A 24854-nucleotide genomic window follows, 5' to 3' on the forward strand; every position below is an offset into this window, starting at 1 on the left:
AGCCCTCGGAACGCCGCCTTGCTCCTCCAAAGTCACACTTTTTCCTGCCTGACTTGTTCCTCTCCAGCTATTCTACCTCCAGCTGTGGGGGCGTCGAAGAAAAAGATGAGATCAAGTTGAGGGGAAAAATTGTCTGATTTCTCCAGCCCTTTGTTTCCCAGGCCTCTGGCAAGCGAGGCTGGTGCTAGGCTGAGGGCTGGGGACCGGGGGATCTGCCGGACCCCACCAGCTGGTGGGGAAATGGACAGAGGAGAGGGGTGCAGATCCCCGCGGGAGGTGGGCTGTAGGGTGTCCAGGGACTGGTATGTCATCTGCCCACCACTTTCTGTCTTTTTTCAGAACCAAGCGCCTCCAGGTCTCTACACGAAGACCCAGGACCCAGCCAAAGCCCCCAACACCCCTGACATTCTCGAGATCGAGTTCAAAAAAGGTATGTGCCCACCTGTTGGGACTCGAAGGGGGTTGACTTTTGGGGCCCTGGCTCCTTTCCCCTCCCTGCCTGGGAACCTAGGCCCTCTTTACCCCCGCCCTGCATTCCTGGAAGCTAGAGTTCAGGCAGGGGCTTCAAGGTAACGCACAGCCCACCTCCCTGGACAGTACAACCCATGGACCATGGATGCCTCTAGGCTTGGGAGGAACATGCCCTCGGCTACCCATCACTCGGGTTCATGGGCACCAGGTCTGGAATGAGAGCGCTCTAGTCCCTGAACAGCCACTCAACTTTCCTGGGCCTCAGTTTCCTCAGCTGTATCTGAGGATGAAAGAGTGCCTGCTGTTTTCCTGGGGTAGAATGAGGCCTGCAAGGGAGCGTCCAGCCCTGGGCCCTGACCCCGGAAGGTGCTCAGTAAACGGTGAGTGTTGGCGAGCTGGCCTCATGGACCCCTGGGACCCCACATGGAAAGCCTTCGCCAGTCTTCATTGAGCCGCTCTGGGCCTCACCCTGCTGACCCCACGTTCAAAGCTGCGGCCACTCTTGCTCCCCTCGGCAGTGGAGGCTGTCCTGATCGCTCCCTCCTTCTCACTGCTGTCAACAAGAAGCGTTTGCTGACCTGGCCTGAGTGCCTGGGTGCCTGAGCTTGGGAGAGGGCATCTCTTGGCCTGGAGGAAGGATGGAGAAGCGAGGCATGCCCGCCTGGGCTCAGAGGGAGGGCTCAGAGGGCGGGCTCAGAGGGCCTGAAGGGGTACCTTTTCAGGAGGCTGGAGTGATCAGGGAGGCTTCCTGGAGGAGGTGGTGCTGGGCACAGGGGCACCCAAGGACCAGGCGGGGGGCTGGCCCATTCGTCCACAAAGTGGCTGCCCACACTGGAGCTGGGATGAGAGGGAGAGAGGCTCGTGGAGAGGCCTGGCCCGGCTCTGGCGCTCGGCTCTTACCCCGGCTACCACAGAAAGGAGGATAGGGTGGGGAAGCCTCAGGCCGGTGGGGAGGCAGAGCTGCAGATCCCCCTCTCCCCCTTGCTGGTGTGACCTTGACAGCCAGCTTCACCATGCTGGGCCTTGGGTGCACTCATCAAAAAACGGACCACAGGCATGATGCTCACAGGTGCCCGGCATGGTATGTGGAATGGGGTGTCGGAGGCTAAGTGCTTTAATAATCTGCCTCTTCTGGGCCTTTCCCAAGAGCTTGGCCAAGCCAGCGACTGTCTTCCTTGCTCCCCTTCATCTGTCCCAACCTACTGGGGGGCCAAAGAGGACCCCAAAGGCAGCCGGGCCCCCAGGCCTGTTTGCAGGCACAGAGCCTCCCTTTAGGATCATCTCTGAGAAGATGGTGGGAGTGGCCCCAGCAGCACCTCCTGGCTCCCTGCACAGGGCTCCCAGGAGCCTGGAGAGCCGTGAGGGTGGGAGGCGGGTGGCAGGCTGCGGAGGGTCCTGGGCACCAGGCTCTGGCAGCCCTGCCCGAGGACCAGGGCAGCTCCGCAGGCTGAGCTGGAGAAGAAACGTGACCTATTGTCATGATTTGGGGACTGTCTGGAAGAAGAAAAAAAGACCGGAGGAACCCTCCCCTGGCTAGTGCCCATTCACTCTCTAGTTAATTTATTTGAAGTTTTAATCTAATTATTAACTATTTTAAAGGCTAAGAGGCTTTCTCCAGCAGCAGCACCAACAATGTCACCTCTTCTCCCGGGCAGGCCCCATCTAAGGCCCCAGCGAAGGCCGATAATAGGACCGGGGAGGGAGAGAAAGGGAGAGAGGAGAGGCGGGGGGTGGTGAGAGGGGCTTAAGGTTCATTATTGGGCAGACTTACATTTAATAGCAATTTACAACCAAGTTATAAAACCCCTGGAAATGGGGGTTAAGAATGGCGAGGCTGACAGCGCCTTGAGTGAAGCCCCTCCAAGCGGCGCCTGGCTAATAAAGCCTCGAAAGCCGCTATTGAGGCCTGATTGGCACCCGATGGCTCGCTCCATGGTAATGAGCCGGGCAGATGGGTGGGGGATTAGCCGCCAACTTTGAACAGCTTTTCTTTGTCACTGTTTCAGCTCTCTTGTTAGCCCCAATACATTTATTGCTCATTTCACACCGCTCGAGAAAGTGCCCCTTGCTATTCAAAGTCAACCCCGAACCCACCCACTGCCCCCACCCAACCCCTTCCCTCCTGCCACCCCGGACCCAGCTCCTCGGATTCAGGGACGCTGCCGACACCTCGCCTGCTGGAGCGGGCACCGTGTCACCCCCATCAATCAGATGGCTGCGTGTGGGTCTGGGGTACAGGGTCGGGGCGCGGGGTCCGCCTGACAGACGTGGCAGGGGGCTGTGTGTGTGTGTGTGTGTGTGTGAGCGAGTATGTGTGTGCTTGAGCCCAGCCACACCTCGGCCAGGCGGCCCCCGGGTGACTGGTGGGACAGAAGGTGCTCCCGGCGTAAGACAATGGTGGAGCGTGAAATTCAATTAGTTCAGGGCCTGGTTCCAATTTCACAGCCCCTAAATGCAAAAGGGGCAAAGAGAATGGGAGGGTGGGGGAGAGCGTTTTTATTGCATTTTCTCTTTCATTCTGGGGGGCTTTCTCGCCCCTTCTCTCCCTGCAGCAGGCCTCAACCTGCACAGGGCTTTTGAAGGAGTCATTTGGAGTCCATATCTGTCACATCCATTTAAGGCGTTTCGGGAGGAGGGAGAGGGTGGGGTGGCGGGTGCAGACTCCTCCGCTGAGCCGGGCCCAGAGGCCCACTGCCCTCTCTTCCCACCCTAGGGGTCCCTGTGAAGGTGACCAACGTCAAGGATGGCACCACCCACCAGACCTCCTTGGAGCTCTTCATGTACCTGAACGAAGTCGCGTGAGTGTCTGCAGCCCTGTCCGGCCTCTTGGGAACCGCCGTCTCGGGCGAGCACGAGCCTGGACCGTTGCAGCTAATGGTTGTGGCTGAGGCTCAGGGGTGCGGAGCACAGGCCATGTCCCTTCCCCATAGCCACAGAGTTTCCCGGACCAGGGGGACCCATTTGGCAGGAGAGGCTCCGTGGTCCTTAGCCTTGGAAGATAACAACCCCAGGAGGTCTCCTGCCTCCAAGGGATCATTAGGCCGGGGCTCTCAGGCCCTTGGCTGGATGGGAGGCCAGGATAGAAGGAAAGGGAGCAGTAGTTAGCTGTGGCGCTAGGCAGGGCCCCAGGACACAGGGAACGGAAGGAACAATGTGAACTCACACCTGGGCAATCCCTGCTCTCTCTGGGCCTCAGTTTCCCCACCTGTCCAGTGGGCACCTGGACTAGGTGACCCGGCTCAGATGTCCTCTTGAGTCTTAGATCCTGAAATGCTGCCTAATGTGTGGCCTAAGCTGTGCCCACCCTGGGACAGCCCAGCTGGGTGGGTGACTCTGAGCCTTGCGGTAGCGCCCGAACCTAATGGACCAGTTCTTCCCACAGGGGCAAGCATGGCGTGGGCCGTATTGACATCGTGGAGAACCGCTTCATTGGAATGAAGTCCCGAGGTGAGTCTGCTCAGCCTCCCTCAGGGCCTGCCTCGGGACCCAGCAAACCCAGAGATCCCTGAGACCCTGTCCCCTTTGGACGCTACTACCCCCATGCTCCGTGGGCGACCTTGGGCACGTCCTTTCACCACACCCCGTGAGACCGCAGTTTCCCTCCTGCCAAGTGGGGATCGTGGGCCCTTTGCCCCTGACTTTCAGGGTGTTATGAGAAGAGCTGTCCAAGGGCTGGGAGAGGCCCAGGAGGGCCTGGGGAGTCTCCGAGGAGCAGGGAGGCCAGGGCCAGGCCTGGAGGTCAGGCTGTCTTGTGTCTGGGGTGGGCAGGCCGGGTGTGGAGGCAGACCGTGCAGGCCCGATTTCGTGGTCATTAAGGCCGCATGGAGGCCGCCGGCCAGGCAGGGCGAAAATCCTGCCAGGGGTGGGCGCTGTGGCTGCACAGGCACTGGGAGCCGGCCAGGGCCTAAGGACCTGTCCCAGCATCAGGCACGGCTCACTGGCCCTTTTCTCCAGGGATGGGGCTGTGCCACAGTTGGGGCTGTGCCGCAGTTGAGGCTGAGCTTCAGTGTGACATGCCTGCCACCTCGGCTGGCCTCTAGCCTGCCTAGCCTCGTATCCGCCTGTGGCTGGGCCCAGGAGCAGGGCAGTTGGTCCCCAAGCAGGTGCCTCTGTCTTCTCTTAGTAGCCAAAGCCCATGATTCCCTTTGTCAGCCAATCAGCATTTCATCTTGACCACAACCCTCCTCTCCAGGACTCAGTTTCCCCATTCATACACCAAGGGGATCTCAGCTCCCTGAGGGTCTGCCAGTGTGTGATAAAGCCATGCTGTGTTCTTTCTTGGGGGTCCTAAGAGGGAAAGAGCAAGGTTTCAGCAGTTGCAGCCCCTGAATTGGGCACCTGAATTTTTATACTGGTGGTGGGGTCAGGGCTTCCTGTTTCGGTAAATGTTCAGGTCTCTTTGCTTAGGGTTGATTTGAAAAGATACCACAACCAAATATCACCTGGCCACGGTATAGTCACGGCCCCATGTCTCTCAGGCTATTTTTACTAAGATTCTAAAATCCAAAGAGAGCCGATCACCCCATGTGGGCCAGAAGAAAAGGGTGGTGGTCCGGAGGGCAGGATGCCTGCTTCTGGTCTCAGGTTTGCCCTGCCTTGCCCAACAACCTTGGACTTGTCATCTATCGCTAGGCCTCAGTTTCCCCAAGTGTAATGCGGTAGGCGCTGGGAGTTGCATCACTCTGGCTCTGACCTGTCTGCGTTTCCCTGGAAAGGCATGGCAGCATGGACCGGGGCGGGGACGGGCTTGCCTCGAAAGACATGGGAGCGCGGAAGGGGAGGCAGGCTCGCCTCTTTCTTGTGGCTTTAGCTCCTTGCTTGCTGTTATTCAGGAGAAACAACCTAATTGAAGCTCTGGGGAGGCCTTGAGAACAATGTTACTAATTAGCTGCTCCTTTTTATCCGGGCTTACCTTTGTCTCTTACCTATATTAACATGTGATTAGATGCCCCTTTGTCGCAGCCTGCCCTTGGGAGCCAGCGCGGTGTGCACCCTCCAGGGAGAGCTGGGAGGGACCTTGAGGAGCCACAGACCAGCACCCCATTTACAGATGCGGAAGCCAGGGCTGGGGAGGGGTGGGATAGAGGGCTTGCTTCAAGTCCCAGGCACTTTAGTGGCAGGACCAGGACTGCCATCTGGGCCCAGAGTGGCATGGAGTGGAGGGCTAACAGCTTAGACTGGAGTTGGACAGATCTGGGTTCAAACTCATGTATGGTGGCAGGAACTGGTACACTGGAAGTGCTCCATAAATAGCCATCAGTCCCCCGGGCATGTGGAATGGGGACAGAAGCAGCCCCCATCCTCTGGGAGCTGTCAGTGTGGCGGGGGGTGGGGTGGGTTCCAGTATTGCACCTGTCTTATCATAATAAGGGCCTGCCACAGGCATGCCCTTGCCATGCCTGTGGCAGGCATCACCAGTCAATGCTGGCATTATCCTGTTGACTCCAGAGGTATCTCAGGGCTGCTTGCAGGCACTACCAAATGATCAGGATTGGCATACGTGATGAAAGTGTATTGCCTTCCCTATTGGAAAGATAAGGACTGGCCTGAAGTCACTGTGAAATGGCATCCTGTGGGGTGGGGCGAGTCAAGCAGAGTTGAGCAAAAATGAACTGAAGGAGGTGGTTAGTGATGAAAACCTGGAATGCACTATTCTGAATGTGGAATGGTAGCTGACAGCATTCCACGGAGGCTGGACCTTTTTCCCAGAATGGGGGCCTCATCCCCGTAGAAGGTCAAAGCCATGAGATCAACAGTCTGTTCCAATCCCCGTGGCTCCTTACCACCCACCTGGGGAAAGCTTCCTGGAGCCCAGCCTTCACTCTGCCCTGGTACTTTGTGTGTGCTGTTGGAGGCTCTCCCCAAAAGCACAGAATTTAGTCAGTGTCGTACAGGGAAGAAAATCGGGATTCTGACGGCAAGAACTTGCTGTGTGATCTTAGGCAAGTTTCTCCCTCTGGAACTCCAATTGTCAAGGGGCCAGATGAGGAGGTCGTATCATCTCCCTCTGAATGTCCTCACTCACCTATTTTCTTGCTTTGGGTTGGGGAGAGAAGACAAAGTTGCTAGGTAATTTTAGGGTGGTGTCTTGTTTTTATTTCTCTACTCCAAATATTTCATGTGAGAAGGAAAGAGGAGAGACGGTAAATTAGGGCACTGTGGATTCCCCCATGACAAGGTTTTTATTAAGTGTACAGTAATGAGAGAAGCTGTTAATCGTCAATTATATTGAGGGCAGAACAGAAAGATGCTATTGTCCGTATCTCGGTGTACAAGGGGAACATGTCATTTGTATTGATTTTACAAAGCTCGTAATTGAAATTCGTTAAGGGCTGATTTTTTTCTCTGGGGGGCGGGGGCGGGTAGGGAGTTGGGCAGCGCCAGTGCCCTGGGTCTGGGGTGGCCTAGTCAGCGGCGCTCAGGGTCAGGGACAGGGGGCTGGGGAAGCCGCGGCTGGAGTAGCTTTCTCCGTATTGTGGCTGTTCACATGTCATTATCACATTATCTTTTTAACTCTGGAGGGGGGCTAATTAAGTGAAGTAAATGAAATCAGTGGGGAGGAGAAGGGGGGCAAGGCAGGCCGGAGGGAAGCCGAGGGAGGCCGGGAAGGAGCCAGCGCATGTCCTTGTGCTCAGCCTCTTTCTCTGTCTCCTCTCTGGCCCCAGACTTCTCCCGCCGCTCTCCCCTCTCCGCTCTCCTCCCAGCCCTGCCCGTCTCACCTCTGCCTGCCCCCGCCTTGCTCCTCCTCCTTGCCTTCCTTTCCTCCTCCCTCTCTCCCTTTCCTCCTCCCTCTCTCCCTTTCCTCCTCCTTCCCCTCTTCCCTCCCTTGCCCTTCCCTCTTTGCACATCCTCCTCCCCATTCCCCACTCTCCCCTCCTGTCTCCCTTCCTCCTTACTCCTCCACTTTCTGGCCCAGAAGGAACAAGGGCTGTCACCCACTTGCCCAACGTGCCCACCCACCATCTGGAACATTCCAGATGGAGAATGGAGGGAGACCTGTGAAGCAAAAAGGTTTTCAGCCCCAGAGGCCCACCCAGGATGGGGCCCGCCAGGCACCAGGAGCATAGAGGATGGCTAGAGTCCCACCCTGACTGGCCTCCCATCACCATGGCAACTGCTTCTCACCTTGGCCCTGGTACCTAAGAGGGGAGCCCTTGGGCTCCAGCCAACCCCTATGCCCCACCTCTTCCAAATCACTTCTTCTACTTTCCCAAAGGACCAGAGCCTTTAGTCCAGGTGCCCTCACCTCCAGCCCAGGCCCCAGCTGAGCTGGCGGATCCCACTCAATTCTGCAAAATTGCTCATTCTGCCTAACCTGGCAGCCTCAGGGACAGATGAGAAGAATTTGGGCCACAGTAGCTGTTTGGTTCCCACCTCTTTCTGCTTGGTCCACTCTCCCCCCAGCCACCCCTGGCCACCCCTAGATCCTTGCCCGTCTCCCCACTCCCCGCTGCACCTTTCTTGGCAGTAATTATGGTGTGATTGAAGCTGCTCCACAGAGAACTGCTGACACCTCTGTCTTTTTCCTGTAAACACGGGGAGATGAAAATAGACACTTGGAGCTGCTGTGTGTGTCACTCCAAAGATGTCCGTTGTCTCTTCCACGGCAACACAGAGGCTCAGCTGTCATTTCCTCCTTCTCTCTGCGCAGTGGTTTGTATGCCGACTGTCAAAAGCCCCAAATTCATAGTCTTTTAGCATCAGGTTTCTGTCACTGTTTTTTTTTTCCAGAAGAAACACACAGAAATCATCTGTACCCCCTACCCCTGTGGAGAGGAGAGGGAAGAGCTTTAAACGCACACACACACACACACACACACACACACACGTGCGCGCGCGCGCGTCGGCAGCAACCTAAAAACAAGTTTTTTGATCCGTCACAATTAACACTTTCGAAGAAAAGGAGCAGGAATATTAATTGCACTGGTGTGTTTTGTGGCTGCAGCCTTTCCCCTTGCCCGTGAGCCCTCCGGAGGCTGCCTGGGAGGGTGGCAGCCAGGAAGCCGGTGCTGGGGGCTCAGGAAGAGGAGGGTTCTGCCTGGCCTCTGCCCACCAGACATTCTCTGCTCCCGGTGGCACTGGCCTCATTTTCCTGGGGACACCTGTGATGGGCCAGTAGCTGGAGGACCTTGGACAAGTCACAGCTCTTCCTCGAGCCCTGAACCCCACCTGCGCCCTCCCCTCTCTGGACTGATGGGAGGCGATGCTGTGGCCTCGAATGTTCTCGAGACAAGACTGTCAGTAAGTAGGGCACACCTGGAGGACGCTCTGAACACTTACCTTTGAGGTAGGTCCCAAAGGAAGTTGGAATGTCAGAGCAGCAGGAACTTGCAGCCTTCTTGTTTTCCAGATGGGTTGCCTGGGTCTAAGAGAGGGGGCTGAGACCGGCCAAAGTCACACAGCAAAGCCAAGCTGGGCACCTTCTGTAAAGGCCAAGCTGGGCACTTTCTGTAAAGCATGGTTGTAGGACTCCTGGTGCCCAGCTCCAGCCCTGCAAATGTAGTTTGGACTGCCCTACAGTTGGCCGAGCTGAGGACAGAAAAGCAGGGAGGCGGGCCTGGGTGTCTAGGAGTTGAAAATGAGGAGGGCTCCTGCTACCGGCCTACCCAGGATGGCGCCATTACGACTCTGTGGCCAGTGTAAGGATGGGCTTTGCAAGTTTCTGGAATTTTCCAAAATGTACCCAAACTAATCACTAGAAGGCCTGTTTCCAACCCGATATGTATCCAGTTCTAGCATGTGCCAGGATGGAGGACCAGCAGGACTTTGTCAGTGTCGTGCTCTTGGGAAATTGCTTTATTTCTGGTAATAAGGTTTCTAGGCTGATTGAAAATTTGCTCCTCGAACTTTATCGTTATATCTGCCATTTTGGAGACAGAGATTTCCTGTTTCTGCACACACTGGTCTTTCTGGACACACTGCTGAACCATTCCCCTTTCTGGTGGCTTTTTTGGCACTGTCATGTTTGTGTGCGGTCATCATGTTTTGTTTTGTTTCTCTTTCAGACAGGGTCTTGTTCTGTCACCGAGGCTGTAGTGCAGTGGTACGATCATGACTCACTGCAGCCTCAACCTCCTGGGCTCCAGCAATCCTCCCACCTAGCATACACCACCACACCCAGCTAATTTACCATTTTTTTGTAGAGACGGGGTCTCCCTATATTGCCTGGGTTGGTCTTGAACTCCTGGGCTGAAACGATCCTCCCACCTTGGCGTAGTAGCTAGGACCACGGGCACATGCCACCACGCCCAGCTAATTTTTTTAATTTTTTGGTAGAGATGGGGTCTCACTATATTGCCCAGGCTGGTCTTGGACTCAGCTCAAGCAATCCTCCCTCCTTGGCCTCCCAAAGTTCTGGGATTACAGGTGTGAGCCCCCGCATACCTGGCCTGTGCTAAGTTCTATGTCCCTGTTCTCCAGGCTGTCTATAATGACTTTTCTCAGTCATTCCTCTGTTTCTGCTGCCATCAGCCTTTTTACCCCTTCCTGGTTTGTGGCTCTGAGCTACTCTGCAGAAAATGATGACGGACCCATTTGAACTGTTTTACAAGAGTCACGGTGAGGCCTGAGGAACTCCCGAGGGATTTGAGGGCTTGGATCTCTGCATAAACTTGGAGAGAGGCCATTTCCTAATCAGAGGTCACAACTAGATTCAGACGGTGGACATGCCGAAGGCTGCAGCCCCCACCAATGAAGCGGGATGGGCTCTTTCACAGCACACGATACTCATATTTGCACCTGGTTGCTCTGAGGGGCTTTCACAAGCATGTCACCTGACACCAGTATATCAGGGGTTTACAGATGAGAGAACCAAGCCCCCAGAGAGGTTCCCTTCTGCCCAGGAACACGGAGCCATGGTGAGAACCAAGCTTTTCCTCCACAGCAACAGCCTGGACTTGGGCTTTTTCTCTCACGCTCTGGTTAGCAGTTGATCACTTTGCCAAAGGCCCTTCGAGGCCACCTGGAGCTGAGATGGGAGACCCCGGGGCCGGGCCCATTCCCCCTCCAGTTGGCTGGGTGGTATTAGGCAAGCCACCCCCCTCCCCAGGCCTCAGGTTCTCATTTGTAAAACTGGTGTGTGGGACTAGATTTAAGGTGAGTCCAGAGTTTGCAGAGGGGCCTCTGTTCCTCCCAGCACAACCTCTGCCATCTCTTCTATATGCTGGGCTTCTGCCGCAGGCTGTTTGAATATTAGGTTGGCAGCTAACAGTCGGGAGAACACGGTACCGGATTGATCCTAATGCAAGCTCTGACATTTCCGTGATTCTAAGACTTAAAGATCAAAGACTGGAGGAGTTCTCCAAGGAGGAAACTTCTGGTTAGTGCACGAGGGCTCAGCAGACTCAGCCTCCCCAGATCCCCGGTAGGCTTCAGAGTCAAAACCAATATCCTTCATGGTTTTTTTTTTTTTTTAATTTAAAACTGTGGTAAAATACATGTAACATAAAATGAACCATTTTAAAATGCGTAAGCGTGCCGCTCAACGGCATTAGGTCCTTTCCCAGGGCTGTGCCACTGTGACTACCGTCCACCTCCAGAACATTTTCTTTTTGCAAAGCTGAGACTCTGGCCCCATGAAACTCCCCATTTTCCCTACCCCGGCCCCTGGCAGCCACCATTTCTGGCTGTATGATTTTGATGACTCGAGGGACCTCGCATGAGTGGAACATACAGTGTTTGTTTTTGTGCCTGGCCTTTGTCACTTAGCGTCACGGCCTTATGTTGATGCTGTGGCATGTGTCAGGATTTCCTTCCTTTTTTTTTTTTAGACAGAGTCTTGCTTTGTCACCCAGGCTGGAGTGCAGTGGTGTGAAATCAGCTCACTGCAACCTCTGCCTCCCAGGCTCCAGTGATCCTCCTGCCTCAGCCTCCCAAGTAGCTGGGGCTACAGGCATGTACCACCATGCCCGGCTAAATTTTTTTGTTATTTTTAGTAGAGACGGGGTTTCACCATGTTGGCCAGGCTGGTCTTGAACTCCTGACCTGAGGTGATCCACCTGCCTCGGCCTCCCAAAGTGCTAGAATTATTACAGTCATGAGCCACTGTGCCCGGCCCCCTTCCTTCTTAAGGCTGAATAATATTCCATCGTATGGATGGACTGCATTTTGCTTCTTCACTCATCCCTCGATGGACACCTGGGTTGCTTCCGCCTCTTGGCTATTGTGATTAATGCTGCTATGAACATGAGTGTACAAATCCTTTCTGGGTTTTTTTCAAGCAGCCACTGTAGAAAGATGTTAGTAAATTCCCAGGATAACTGAGAACCTGCCCTTTTAGTGATGTAACGTATGGTGGAAGAAAGGAAGCTCTCGGGGTAGAATCCATGGAGATGGGGGAGCTATGGCCCCTGCTCCACCCAGACAGCAGCTGCAGGGCAGGCTTGCCCAAGGGCCAGCTCTGAAGTTGATGCGAGAGGTCGCACTCCTGGGGCAAGAGGGGGCCTGGGCTGTGTGCTGTGGGCGGTCCTGCCTCTTGGTGCCCCACTGTCCTCCAATGCAGTAGGACCTTCCCCCAGACCCAGCTCAGCCCAAGACCAGGCATTTCTGTCTCACTCGGAGATCATCTGTTCCAAGCAGGTTGTTTTCCAAATGGAGGGACTGGGCCTGAGGTCACAAGAGGGGACTTGAGCAATCCCTTCTCCCCTGACCTTCCAGGGTTGGGCCTCCACGGCCAGGTGACTTACAGGGCAGCAGACAGCACTGGTGAGGGACTCGGGGGCCTACATTCAGTTCCCAGCTCCACCTAGAGCAAGTCCCTTCTCCTCTTGAGCTCAGTTTCCCCATCTGCACGGTGCGGTCAGCCTAGGTGATTGCCCAAGCCCTCTGCCACCCCAGTGGCCTCTGGAGAGACCTGGCCGCAGGGGCCCCATGGGCTGAAGGTGGCATGTGTGTACACATGTGTACATGTATGTGCACAGCTGTCCCCCTCCCCTGGCTCCCTGGTGGAAGGGAAGAAGGGATATTTGGGGCTCTGGGCTCTACCGTAGTCGCTTTAATTACAGGCTTTCAACCTCGGGCCGGTGGGCACGCATGGGGAGGGAGGGGTTGCTGCTCCGAAACCCTGTCATTTTCTAGCGTCTGAGGGCCCCTTCAAAGGGGGCATCTAGACATTTTCTCCACAAGCCGCAGAGTGGACTGTCGTGGCCCCAGCATGAACATAATGACAGATGCATTTTGCAGCAAGCTGGGAGTGAATGGGTCCGGCCGGCTTGTCTCCTGTCAGACGACTCATTATTATTATTATTTTTTTTTTTGTCATTTGCTGACAGTTTGGGTTTCATGCGTTTCTCTCTTTTTTCTCCTTTTCCCCCTGCCTGGAAAAATGGCTAGGTATCTACGAGACCCCAGCAGGCACCATCCTTTACCATGCTCATTTAGACATCGAGGCCTTCACCATGGACCGGGAAGTGCGCAAAATCAAACAAGGCCTGGGCTTGAAATTTGCTGAGCTGGTGTATACCGGTGCGTAAGACTCTATGGCTGCCCCCTCTAACCGCCTCACAAGGGATCCCAAAGTACTATCAGGCTCTCGGGCCTGGCCCTCCCCTCCGTATCAGCACCTTCCTCCCCTGCCGCCCACTGCCATCCTCATGTGAGACCCCAAAAGGTGCAGGCCAAAGGGGGTTGAGGGAAAGTGCAGGGCATGAGGGAGCAAGGGGATGCTAGAACCTGCCTTGCCATGGGGTGTGTCCAGGGAGATGCACCGGCTTCCCAAGGTGTCCGGCAGCTTCCACCCCCTACAGTTTGCATGACTGCAGCAATGCCAGGCACTGGGCACTGTGCGGCGACATGCATCACCCCGCATGGTCCTCACAACTTTCCCAGGAGGTCTGCAGCTCCTTGTACACGAGGAAACTGAGGCTCAGAAGGAAAGCATAAAACCAGAAGTGGCCTAGCTGGGTTTGACCCCCAAGTCAGGCTGTCTCCAGGAAGAACCTGGACCTACTCCATGAACTTGAGGGAGAGGCTCCCTGGACCAGGAACTCAGCCCCAGACCCCAGTACCGCAGGAGCCAGATCTTGACCATGAAACCACTGGGGTGGCCACAGGGCCTGAGCCCTGTCACACACCCAGCCCATGTGTGGAAGGACCGGTGGGTGACAGCACCTGAGGCGGGGGTGTCCCCGTTTTGCAGGTGAGGAGCCCGGGTTTCCATGCCTTGGAATCCAGGCCTCCTGACTCCAAAATCCAACCCTCATGTGGTGTAACAGAGGTCCCCAAACTACAGTCCCTGGGTCAAATCCAGCCCGTCACCTGTTTTTGTTCAGCTCATGAGCTAAGAATAGTTTTTACATTTTTATTTTATTTATTTATTTATTTATTTATTTGGGACGGACTTTCGCTCTTGTTGCCCAGGCTGGAGTGCAATGGTGCGATCTTGGCTCACTGCAACCTCCGCCTCCCTGGTTCAAGCGATTCTCCTGCCTGAGCCTGCTGAGTGACTGGGATTACAGGCATGCGCCACCATGCCTGGCTAGTTTTTGTATTTTTAGTAGAGATGGGGTTTCACCATGTTGGCCAGGCTGGTCTCGAACTCCTGATCTCAGGTGATCCGCCCGTCTTGGCCTCCCAAAGTGCTAGGATTACAGGCATGAGCCACTCTGTCTGGCCAGTTTTTACATTTTTAAATGGTTGGGAGGAAAAAAAATTTTTTAATGCTATTTCATGACAAATTATATAAAATTCAAGTGTTGCCGGGCACGGTGGCTCATGCCAGGTGAGGTGGCTGTTTCTGCATTGTCTGTGGCTCCCCTGGAGCGGCAAGGGGAGGTTGAGCCATTTGAGAGAGACCATAGGACCCAAAGAGCCTAAAATATTGACTCTCTGGCCCTTCCCACCCACCTCCATAACATACACATAGCCCTGATTTGGGGCGTTACATTAAACAGCTGCCCTGAGCTGTGGGAGGACAGGCTGCTGCCTGAGGCCGATCCTCACATCTTCGGGGGCCTGGACGTCAGGGGACCTGTGCAAAGTTAGTATTAGTTAATCGAATAGCTACCTGGGCTAAGCTCTCCTCCCCTCGCCTCTCCCCCTCCACTCCCAGATTTTGTTTCCTTTTAAGCCTCCTAATCACTGTAACTCATCTCAGGATTTCGAGAGGGCTCGATGGTTATTGGCTGGCGTTATTTCTCCCTGCCATTGTTCCTTGCAGCTTTGAAGCCAAGTTTCTGCCCCCGTTCCCAGGGACAGACAGGTGCTTAAATACCATTGTCTCCTGCAGGCTTTCCAGCCCGGCGGGATTGCGACCCCGAAAGGAGGATTTTAGTTACAAAGTGAGAGAGTCATTAAGACGTGGCGGAGGAGAGAGCACCTGGCCGGGCTGCTCCGGGGCCTCCACGGAGGCTGATCCCACCGTGGCCGCGGCCACGGCTGCCACTTATCCTGCCATCTTGCTGCTAGGCTCTGAGCTGGGCACCTGATGGGGTATTATCTAATATTAGCTGCGCAGAGGTGAGGAAACGGAGGCCCCCAGGTGAAGACACTCACCCAGGCTCTCCTGGCTGGTGATGGGCAGCTTTGAGCCGGGGACAGGCCAGCTGTAGCGGCCAAGTTCCCAGTTACTCCAACAGATTCCAGGATGCTCGTGATCAAGGGGCACGGCGGCACAGACAGGGGAACCCTGGGTGTAGGGCACAGTTTGGCTCCTGGCTGCGGTCACGATGCCTCTACACTGGACTGGCTGGGTTGAGTCCCTGCTCTGACAGCCAGCGACAAGCCCTCTACATCCCAAACTGAGGTACAATGATTAGGAGACTTAAAAGGAAACAAAATCTCAGAGTGGAGGCGAGGGAGAGTAGGGGCTTCTTCTGGGTAGTTATCACTAATATTAACTTTGCCCTGGTCCGCTGACATGCAGGGCCCCACAAACATCAAGATCGGCCTCGGGCAGCAGGCTGACCCCCACAGCTCAGAGGGCCTGTTTGATGCGATTTTCCCCATGAGGGATACAGACATGGTATAGACCAGGGCTTTGCCTGATCATGTTACTTAACTTCCCTAGGCCTCAGTTTTCCCATCTGAAGAGTGGGAATAACAGTTCTACCTGTCTGGTGGGTGAGGACTAAAAGTATGAGTATTTGTAAAGCACCTGGAACAATGTCTGGCAGACGAGTGCTTATTCCAGTGCGTGAAATAACTGCGAGCGCCCGGCGTGGTTTCCCAGTGTGGAGGCGCGGCACTTGGAGTCTTGCCTCTGGCTGGGTTAATGGTCTTGAGCAGGGCTGTCTCTTCCTTGAGCCTCAGTTTCCCCTCCTGTCAAATAAAGGGCACCAGGCTGAGGGCACGCCAGGGTCTCTTCCCAGTCCCGTCTAGCTCCTGGGTGGAAAGCCCACCATTCTGCTGTAATGCTTGGCTTCCTCAGAGCCCTTGTGGTCTCGGCACAGATAGGGAGACTGAGGCACAGGGAAGCCCTCCTGCCCCAGCCTCACTCCTAGAGGCCCTAGGTTCTGTGACCACTGCCACTCTGCATCTGTGTGTCTGTGTGTGGCTGGCTGGCTCCCTCTCCTCTCCCACCATTCCCAAATTTCCTGGTCTGGCTGTGTGAGCTTCAGGCAGACTGTCTCCAGGAGTGGCAACCAGGGTTAGCCTGGCAGGACCCCAGCTTCAGGACCCTGGCAGGGCCCAGAGGAGCATCTCATCTAGGGGGTATAGCTCACTTCTTCTCCCCTCACCTCCATTTCTTCAGCAATAAAATGGGTATAATGTGCAACTCACACAGAATTGCTCCAGTTAGAAAGGATCGCATGTGTTTGGCTGGGCCTAGCAGCACGGGGGAGGGGTCCCTCTCCAGCTCAGCCCTAAGCCCCACCCACAGTGATCTGCAGGTCTGGGGGGTGCAGGGTCTCCCCCATTGCAGCTTATGCCAGGCTCACTGGCCCCCAACCCAGGCTGGGTCCGCTGGGAAAAGAAATCTGAGCAGAAGAACCCTGTGGGGCAGAGGTAGAAAATTCTGAGATAAAGCCCAGGCCAGTTGCTCCCACAGAGATCTCTGTCCTATCTCTGGCTCCATCTCCTGCCTGTCTTCCGGCCTGGAAACTTAATGGGCTAATTATCCCAGCTCCGTCAGAAAGATGGCCAAGCCCAGGACACCAGGGCATGGGGGGCTGGGAGAACATCAGTGGCCCCCTCCACGAGGGTCTCGGGGTGTGTTGGAAAAAGCCCTGGGCCAGAGTTAGGAGTGCTTCATCAGACCTGGGCTCTTCCAAAGTCTTGCTGTGTGGCCTTGGACAGGCTCTTTCCCTCTCTGGGCCTCTCTCCCTGTGTACAGTGAGGGCTGGCACAGAGCATCATGTTCAAACTGCAAATGCAAAACGCTTTGCGCTCTGTGCATTCCCTCACTGCATCCACACAACCTCTGGTTAGCAATGTTTTCTCACTGTGCAAATGAGGAAACCGAGGCACAGGGAGGTTAATCACTTGTCCAGGTGTGGCTGGGATGCGGACTCACAGGGTGGGACACTGGAGAGCAAGGACTCAACCTCTACTCTCCGTGCTTGGCCCTCCCCCGCCTCTGCAAGCCCCAGGACCCCATCCCAGAAGCCTGTCCCCTTTCCCACGGAGGACCTCTGCAGGTGCCCCCAGGGGCCTGGGCCTCCCACAATAGCCGCAGCCCCTGGGCTGACCCAGCCCTTTATCAGGGCAGGAGATCATGCGCCATCTGGCCCTGCAGCTGCCCAGGTGGGCTCACCTTCCAGGCTCCATTTCAGGAAACTCTAGCCTTGCCCTGTCCCTCCCCCCGCCATGGCCTGCCTGCCTGCCTGCCTGCCTGCCCCTTGGTCCCAGCCTCCATCAGCAGAGGCTAGAGAGAGGCCGGGGGCAGACTGGGGTCTGAGCGCTACCCCTCCCTGGCCTTTAGGGCTCTCGGGGAGAGGGGAGGGAGCATGTTTCTCAGGCACCTCCTGCCCCCACCTACACACCAAGGGATGTTCTGGCCATAGAGAAAGCTCCAAGTTTATCATAGGAAGCAGAGTTGTTACAACTTGGGCCAACACAAGTCAAATGGAGGCTCCCCACTTCCGGCCTGTGTGATCCTGGAGAAGTTTCTTAACTTCTCTGAGCCTCCCTTCCTCACCCAGAAAGGGGAGAGGCTAAGAGAGTTTCTCTCAGAGTGCTGTCTATGAGGATTCAGGGAGCTAGCCCAGATCAAAGCCTGAGCGCAGTGCTGCTTATCTATGCAGAAATATTCTATCTGCCCAGGAAAACAGCAGCAGGTGCAGAAAACAGCTCACTGATTCCAAGGGGTGGGCTCTGGCCAGGACTCCAGTTCACAGTAGCCCCTAAGGCTGGTGCTGCTCAGTGCTAGGGGCTCCACATGAAATATTACTGTGACATCCCCACTCAACAGATGGGGAAACAGAGGCACAGAGAGGGGAAGGCTATGCATGGCCATGGTCTGAACCACCACCCAGCTGCCTGCACTGGACACCCATATCACCAAGCCCCAGGCAGCATGTGCCTCTGAGTCCTGTCTGAGGTCTTCTGCCTCCCCCGGAGATTAGAGCCTCCATTGGGCCAGGGATGGGGTCCCTTTACCACTGTGTCCCCAGTTGCTGGCCTGTGGCACTTCCTGAATGCCTATGGCATGAAGCAGTGGGTCACTTCCCTCCTCCTGACCCTTAGGGAAATGACCTAGGTGGTCACCTCCTTACCCACAGGCCCTTTGCAAGGTTAGAGGGCAGGGCTATGAAAGCATGGTCCTCAACTCAGCCACTGGCAAGCGCACATTGTGCCAGTCTCGCGGGAGGCAGTCATGGTCTGCATGGCGGGGTAAACCATGGGGCACCCTTCCTGTGCCCCAGGTCTCCCTGTGTCCTCGCGGTGCAGGAGGCCTCCCTAGTGGTATCCTGTTTTCCTCCCTGTAGGTTTCTGGCACAGCCCTGAGTGTGAATTTGTCCGCCACTGCATCGCCAAGTCCCAGGAGCGAGTGGAAGGGAAAGTGCAGGTGTCCGTCCTCAAGGGCCAGGTGTACATCCTCGGCCGGGAGTCCCCACTGTCTCTCTACAATGAGGAGCTGGTGAGGTAGGTGCCCCACACCTCATTCTGACCCCCACTTGGGCACAGAGCCTATCTTTTGACTGGATCCTCAAGACATCTGTGCCTGAGCACATGTCAGGCACCATGCAGAGCACAGAGTGATGGTCACAGAGGATATAGACACCACTATGCTCCCGTGGAACTTACAGGCTAGCTGGGAGAAAGGCATGGATCAAACCATTACCAGAATGTAGAATTAGACAAGGTGGCAGCGGGCTGTGAGGAATGCAGGATAGTCTGGCTGGGTATAATAACTGGGATTGGCTAGGAGGGGTGGTGCATGCCTGTAATTTCAGCTACTCAGGAGGCCGAGGTGGGAAGATTGCTTGAGCCCAGGAGTTCAAGACCAGCCTAGGCAACATAGAAAGACCTTGTCTCAAAAAAATATATATACACACACACATACATATATATATATATATACACATACATATACACACACACACACACACACACACACACATATATATATAAAATAATTGGGGTTGTGAAGAAGCTCCTTTGCTATTCAAACAATAGCAGAAGGAGTTAACAGGTGAATGGGGGGAGGGGTGGAAGGGCAAAAGTGGCCAGGGGGAAGGAGCTGAAGCTAGATCTTAAAGGGAAGGGCAAGATCAGATCTGTGCATTTAGAGGGTCCTCCTGGCTGCTCTGGAGAACGGATTTGAGTAGGTGGGAGGTGGAAGGGCACCTGTGGAAATGCGGTAGCTTGGACCATGCTGATGATTCCTGGACTAGATAGCAGCAGGCGAATGTGACACATATCTAGGAGGAGGGATTGAAATGACTTGGATGTGGAGGGAGATGGAGGGTCCAGAATCACCCTGGTGTCTGGGGTCGTGAGCAGCTGGGTGCAGTCCCTGGGTTGAGGAAATGCTCTTGAGGAAGGATCATGCATTTGGATTTAGGTGTCATGAGTATGGGTTTCTTTTGAGATAGCTGGGAAAAACTAACTGGAAGGCCGCCGGACACTTGGGTCTAGAGTTGAGGAGAACCCAGGCTGAAGACCCTGGAGCATCATAGGCATTTTGATGTTCTCTGAAGCGCTGGGCCAAGAGAGACTGCCTAGGGGAAAGCGTGGAGTGAGACAAGAAGGGAACTAGCCAGGCAAGATGGTGCACACCTGTAATCCCAACTCTTTGGGAGGCCAAGGCAGGAGGATCGCTTGAGGCCAGGAGTTCAAGACCAGCCTGGGCAACATAGTGAGACCTCATCTCTACTAAAAATAAAAAAATTAGCTAAGCGTGGTGGCATGTGCTCGTGGTCCCAACTACTTGGGAGGCTGAGGTGGGAGCGTCTCTTGAGTCTGTGAGATCAAGGGCGCATTGAGCCATGATCATGCCACTGCACTCCAGCCTGGGCAACACAGCAAAACCCTGTCTCAAAAAATAAATACATAAAGTATTAGCCAGGTGTGGTGGCATGCACCTGTAGTCCCAGCTACTCAGGAGGCTGAGGCAGGAGGATCACTTGAGCCCAGGAGCTGGAGGCTGCAGTGAGCCAGGATTGCACCGCTGCACTCTAACCTTAGTAACAAAGCTAGGCACTGTCTCTTTAAAAAAAAAAAAAAAAAAAAAAAAGGAAACACAACTGGAACCATGAGATTTCTCATTGATGGACCAGGCAGAAGGTGGCCAAGGAGGAGCCCCTGGAGGGGCAGGAGGGCCCTGGTGAGCCAGGGCAAAGGTGGCAGGTAACGATTGGCCACTCCTGTGTCCGCCCCGTGGATGAGAGTGACCTGCACCAAGGGACGAGGTGTCACCTCCAGAGGTCACCTGGCCAAACTAGAGATGGGGCAGGCCCCTGTGGGACAGACAGCCCCCACTAGACGTGGGTCCCCTAAGGCCCAGCTTAGCTCAGGCTAAGGCCAGCCCCTCCCTCCTGGAGGCTGGTTGGGAATTAAAGTACGAGTCTTGTTTGGCAGTCAATATTATTTTTTTCTTTCCCTTCTCCTTGCCATGTTGAGTTTCTCCCCGCTTCAATCTTTCTAAACACTTTATAAGCCATAAATACAACTGAGTCAGTTTAGATCAGTTGGGGTAAATGTCAAATTATCTTCTCTCTTTCTCTCTCTGGCTCTTTCTTCCCTCCCCCTCCAAATCAACAGCCTCTAATAATCTGTCCAACCCTTCATTAAGCCTTACAGTCTCACTCAGGGAGATTAAATGAATAAAGTAAAAAGGGAAAGGGGAAAAAAGAGAGAAAAGCAGGAGCATTTATTCTCACTGTGTCTCCGACCATTTCCCTTTTCTTTTTGATTTCTACATCGCTGACTTGAAAGCCCTTGAGTGACAGCGTCACAGGGACCAGCGAGGAAGCCGTGAGAGGTAGCAGAGCTGGAAATGCCGTGGCTCAGTAGGTAGAAAGTAACGTAATTATAGAGCAGGTCAGAGCCACTCGAATGAGCAAAAATAAAAGCACAGAGGTTTTCTGTAGACCGTCAGGGGAGGTAAAAAAAAAAAAAGAAAAAAATCATTGTAAACTCTTTTTCCACCTCCCCGCTCACTTCAAACCACAATTTTAAAAAGAGGTTTTTTAGTTCCTGAGAAACCCCTCTTGGAACTCCCAGCAGCCTCGTGGGACAAGTTTGTCCCTGGATGTGGGCCCTCTTTGCAGGGGCTGCCAGGGCAGCTGGGAAGTTCCCACCTTGGGGAACGGGATGGGGAGAGTTTGTTGTGACTTGTGAGAGATGGAGGTGAAGGGACAGATGGACACAGAGGTGGGGGGATTCTGTGTCCTACGTTCTCCCTGGGCTGAGTATAGGGGCCAGTGGGGCTGAGGCTCGGTTTCTAAAACAAGGTCTGTTGAAGGGATCTGAGGAGGTTGGTGGTCTAGTTTGGTCTAGCTCTTCCTAAGCACTGACTGCACAGAAAGGGGTGGCCAGCAAAAGTCTGGTATCTCCTCCTCTTCCAGGGAATGCAAGCTCCTAGTGGCTTCAGTGCCTGAGCCCTGGAGGGGCCGTGGAGGTGTGGAGGAGGGAGGAAGGGACATCAAGGAGGTACAGGAGCATGGGAGTGACTCTGCAGAGAGTTCCACGCACCCACCGGCTTCAAGGCCTGGTGAAGGTCAGGGCCCGGGTCCTGAACAAATCACTGGGGCCAGGCAGATGCAGAGACCTCATTTGTTCTTGTAAAAAGTCCACTGTCTACAAAGAACCAGTCAGAGGGCCAGCCTCAGGGTCTCAAAGCAGCAGATCCTCCTGCCTCCCAACACCGACCCCCGCTACCCCTACCTCGAGAACCTTGAGTCAGCTTTGTCCCAAGGCTGGAATTCTGCAGACAAGGGTCTGATTCAGAGCAGGACATGACAAGGGACCCCATCCTCTCAGAGGCTCAGAGGCTGGCCTTGTGGAGTAGGAGGCATCTGAGTCCACGTGCCCTAAGTGCTTAGCACAACCATAATTAATGAAGGCAATGGGTGATTGATTGCTTCGGTCTGGCCCCTCCCTGTGGACACCACTCTTGCTCTTCCTTCCTTGGCACCTGGCCCAGCATCTGGCAGGCAGCAAGGGCTTAATAAATGCCTGAACAAATGAATGAGTGAATGAATACTGTTAGTACTAGTGGGTGCTCACCATGTGCCAGGCACCAGCTACATTATTTCATGTGGGGCCAAATGTGACACTGAGAGCTAACCACCATCACGCATTTCACAAGTGCAAGGCTGAGGCTCCGAGTGCAGGAATACTGGCCTGGGCTCTCTGGTGGCGGGTGGCGGAAACAGGACGCAAACCCCAGTCAGCTGGCTGGAGTGACTGCCATGGTTAGGAAGGTTGGGAGGAGCAGCTAAGGGTGGAGAGCCCCAAAGCAGAAGGCTGGTGAGTCTGAGAGGTGGAAACTGTAGAGAGGTAAAATCTGCTCTGCTGAGTACAGCAGCAGTCAACCCAGCATTTTCCATGACACACTGGCAGTGGGTGCCCAGGTTTCAGGATGGATTAGGTAAGGTCTAACTGGTTGGACACATGAGGGGAAAGGTGACTTGGTGGGCCCATCTCGCTGTGAATGCTGGAGGCCTCCCTGCAGCTTGCGAAATGCCCTTGTGCTATTGCAATTCACACCCCAAGGCCTCCTGAGCCTTCAGGTCACTGCATGCCATCCACACAGTCCCAAGGGCACAGCTGGCTTGGACGAGTTACCCATTTACAGACAGAGTGCTCTGGTTGGTGGAATTCATAGGGCTAGTTCTGGGGTGGCTGCTCCTAGCCTCCTGCCACATTGTGTAGCAGGGAAGAGGCTGCTGTGTGCTCCACTAGGGCTCTCCAACCTTTGGGTGGGTGCCTGGCCCAGAACAGGGTTCCCTGAGTTGTACAGAAATTCAATGGAAAGCCGACGTGCAGGGAGGGTTTGGACCCACACAGGGGAAATGCCCTGGCATCTGGGAGGTGGGGCTGCTTCTGGCCCCAGCAGTCCTCCCTTCAAGCAGAGGCCAGGGCCAGGCTGAGCTGACAAGCTTCTACTCTCCTTGCAGCATGAACGTGCAGGGTGATTATGAGCCAACTGATGCCACCGGGTTCATCAACATCAATTCCCTCAGGTGAGAAGCTCAGGGCCCTGACGGGCCTTCAGAGCCTCCAGGTGTAAAGGGTAGGCTTTGAGAGCCCCCAGGTGTAAAGGGTAGGCTTTGATGCGACCTTGACTGCTGCCCTGCCCTGCCCTGCCCTGCCCTAGACAAACCCCACTTTCCTGTCCATCTGCCCATAGCATCCTCAGAAGCATGCTTTGATAGCCGACAGTAACAGAGGGTCCTAGGCATTGGGGTCCTAGGTTCCTGTGTCCCACCGGGTGCCTCTGATACTTGCCCTCCCCTCCCGCTAAGCCACAGGGACTCCACTATGAGCTCCTTTGCAGGGCAGGTTAAACAAGGAAATAGCATAGAGGTGGAGAGAAGCCTTTGTTTTCTGTCACCATACCTGAGCTGTAGGTCTAGCTGGAAGCCATCCTAGCCACGTGGATCTCCATGGCCCAGGAGGGTGGTGCACGTCATCTGAAGTCACTCAGACCTTTGATCCTCTGTGAGTCACCAGTAAGAGTGTCAGCTGTACCTGCCTCACAGATGCAGTGAAGGTTCAATATGAGCCTGTGGAAATCAAGCATGCGGCTCAGGCTTAGACCCTGGCATGCAGGAAGAGCCAGGGGCAGTGCCAGCAGCAAGCACACTCAGCCCAGGGCCGGTGTGCTCAAGGGCAAACAGGGTCGTTTGTCACCAGCAGCTAACATAGACTAAGCTGCTCTGGGACACTCTCCTAGGATGTCTCATTTAATTCTTACACAAAATTTGCAACTCCCCGGGAACAGGCTGAGTGGTTAAGTAACTTTCCAAGGGTCACACAGCTAGGAGGTGGTGGAGCTGAGTCCGGAGGGCCTGTCCTGCTGTGGGTTCTCCATCACCAGCTCCCTTCTCATGGGGATTGGAGTCTAGAAGAAGATGCAAGTCAGTCTCCTCTTGCTAACAACATGCCCTGGGCACAGAGCCATCATTTTCTCCCAGAGCCAGTCTCTTGTCCCTGGAGGCACCTCATGCCCCGAGAGATGTTGAAGCCCGCCCATCTGCCCAGGGTCCTCTCCCTTCCCCTCCGTCACCTCCACCTCCCCTGCCTCCTGCGCCCTCTGTTTGTATTTTATGACTCTATAAACCCTTTTAAATGGCCCAGAACAAACAGGGCTTACATAGTGGCCTCTTCATTTCTCCTATTGCCAGTTAAACGCTTTGTCTTCAACAATGACAAACAATGTTTTCCCCCTAAGATAAATTAATTACATTATCCTGATTGGAGGGCAGGAGGGGCCAGGGCGGGAGAGGGAATAGAAAAAAAGGCAACTTCACACACATCTTAACAAACAGCTGCCCCAGCCACCCCAGCTCTGCCTGAATTAATTGAACCCAGTGTGTGTTGTTATTGTTAATTTACATTTTTCTTTGTTTTGAATCTGGTTTACAGGCTGAAGGAATATCATCGTCTCCAGAGCAAGGTCACTGCCAAATAGACCCGTGTACAATGAGGAGCTGGGGCCTCCTCAATTTGCAGATCCCCCAAGTACAGGCGCTAATTGTTGTGATAATTTGTAATTGTGACTTGTTCTCCCCGGCTGGCAGCGTAGTGGGGCTGCCAGGCCCCAGCTTTGTTCCCTGGTCCCCCTGAAGCCTGCAAACGTTGTCATCGAAGGGAAGGGTGGGGGGCAGCTGCGGTGGGGAGCTATAAAAATGACAATTAAAAGAGACACTAGTCTTTTATTTCTAGTGAGTGTGTGTGTGTGTGTGTGTGTGTGTGTGTGTGTGTGTGTGTGTGTAGTTAATTATGGTTTTCTTAGGCCAACCTTTGTGTTTTCGGACCTAAGTGCTGCCGAAGGC

At 54.7% G+C, this 24854-nt stretch overlaps 1 protein-coding gene across 2 annotated transcripts in view, besides 3 other annotated features; it reads left to right on the forward strand.

Moving 5' to 3' along the window:
- Positions 1-24743, forward strand: part of ASS1 (argininosuccinate synthase 1) — a 56568-nt gene extending 31825 nt beyond the window's left edge. For both annotated transcript variants that reach the window (NM_000050.4, NM_054012.4), the window contains 7 exons: positions 340-430; positions 3185-3269; positions 3854-3918; positions 12802-12933; positions 18336-18492; positions 22974-23039; positions 24445-24743. In NM_000050.4, coding sequence (NP_000041.2) covers positions 340-430; positions 3185-3269; positions 3854-3918; positions 12802-12933; positions 18336-18492; positions 22974-23039; positions 24445-24490 — 642 coding nt within the window. In that variant the 3' untranslated portion in view covers positions 24491-24743. The remainder of the gene's footprint in view (positions 1-339; positions 431-3184; positions 3270-3853; positions 3919-12801; positions 12934-18335; positions 18493-22973; positions 23040-24444) is intronic.
- Positions 1729-3179: an enhancer, noted in NCBI's record as "VISTA enhancer hs1328". NCBI's record gives its function as "enhancer in: neural tube[4/4] | hindbrain (rhombencephalon)[3/4] | midbrain (mesencephalon)[4/4] | forebrain[3/4] | trigeminal V (ganglion, cranial)[3/4]" and the evidence as "EXISTENCE:transgenic organism evidence [ECO:0001131][PMID:17130149]".
- Positions 3535-4290: an enhancer, noted in NCBI's record as "H3K4me1 hESC enhancer chr9:133355453-133356208 (GRCh37/hg19 assembly coordinates)". NCBI's record gives its function as "activates a minimal SCP1, AML or CMV promoter by ChIP-STARR-seq in naive and primed H9 embryonic stem cells {active_cell/tissue: H9 hESC(naive and primed)}" and the evidence as "EXISTENCE:reporter gene assay evidence [ECO:0000049][PMID:30033119]".
- Positions 21249-21750: an enhancer, noted in NCBI's record as "H3K27ac hESC enhancer chr9:133373167-133373668 (GRCh37/hg19 assembly coordinates)". NCBI's record gives its function as "activates a minimal SCP1, AML or CMV promoter by ChIP-STARR-seq in naive H9 embryonic stem cells {active_cell/tissue: H9 hESC(naive)}" and the evidence as "EXISTENCE:reporter gene assay evidence [ECO:0000049][PMID:30033119]".

This window comes from Homo sapiens, chromosome 9 (assembly GCF_000001405.40).
Source record: "Homo sapiens chromosome 9, GRCh38.p14 Primary Assembly".
Classification (NCBI taxonomy): Eukaryota; Metazoa; Chordata; class Mammalia; order Primates; family Hominidae; genus Homo; species Homo sapiens.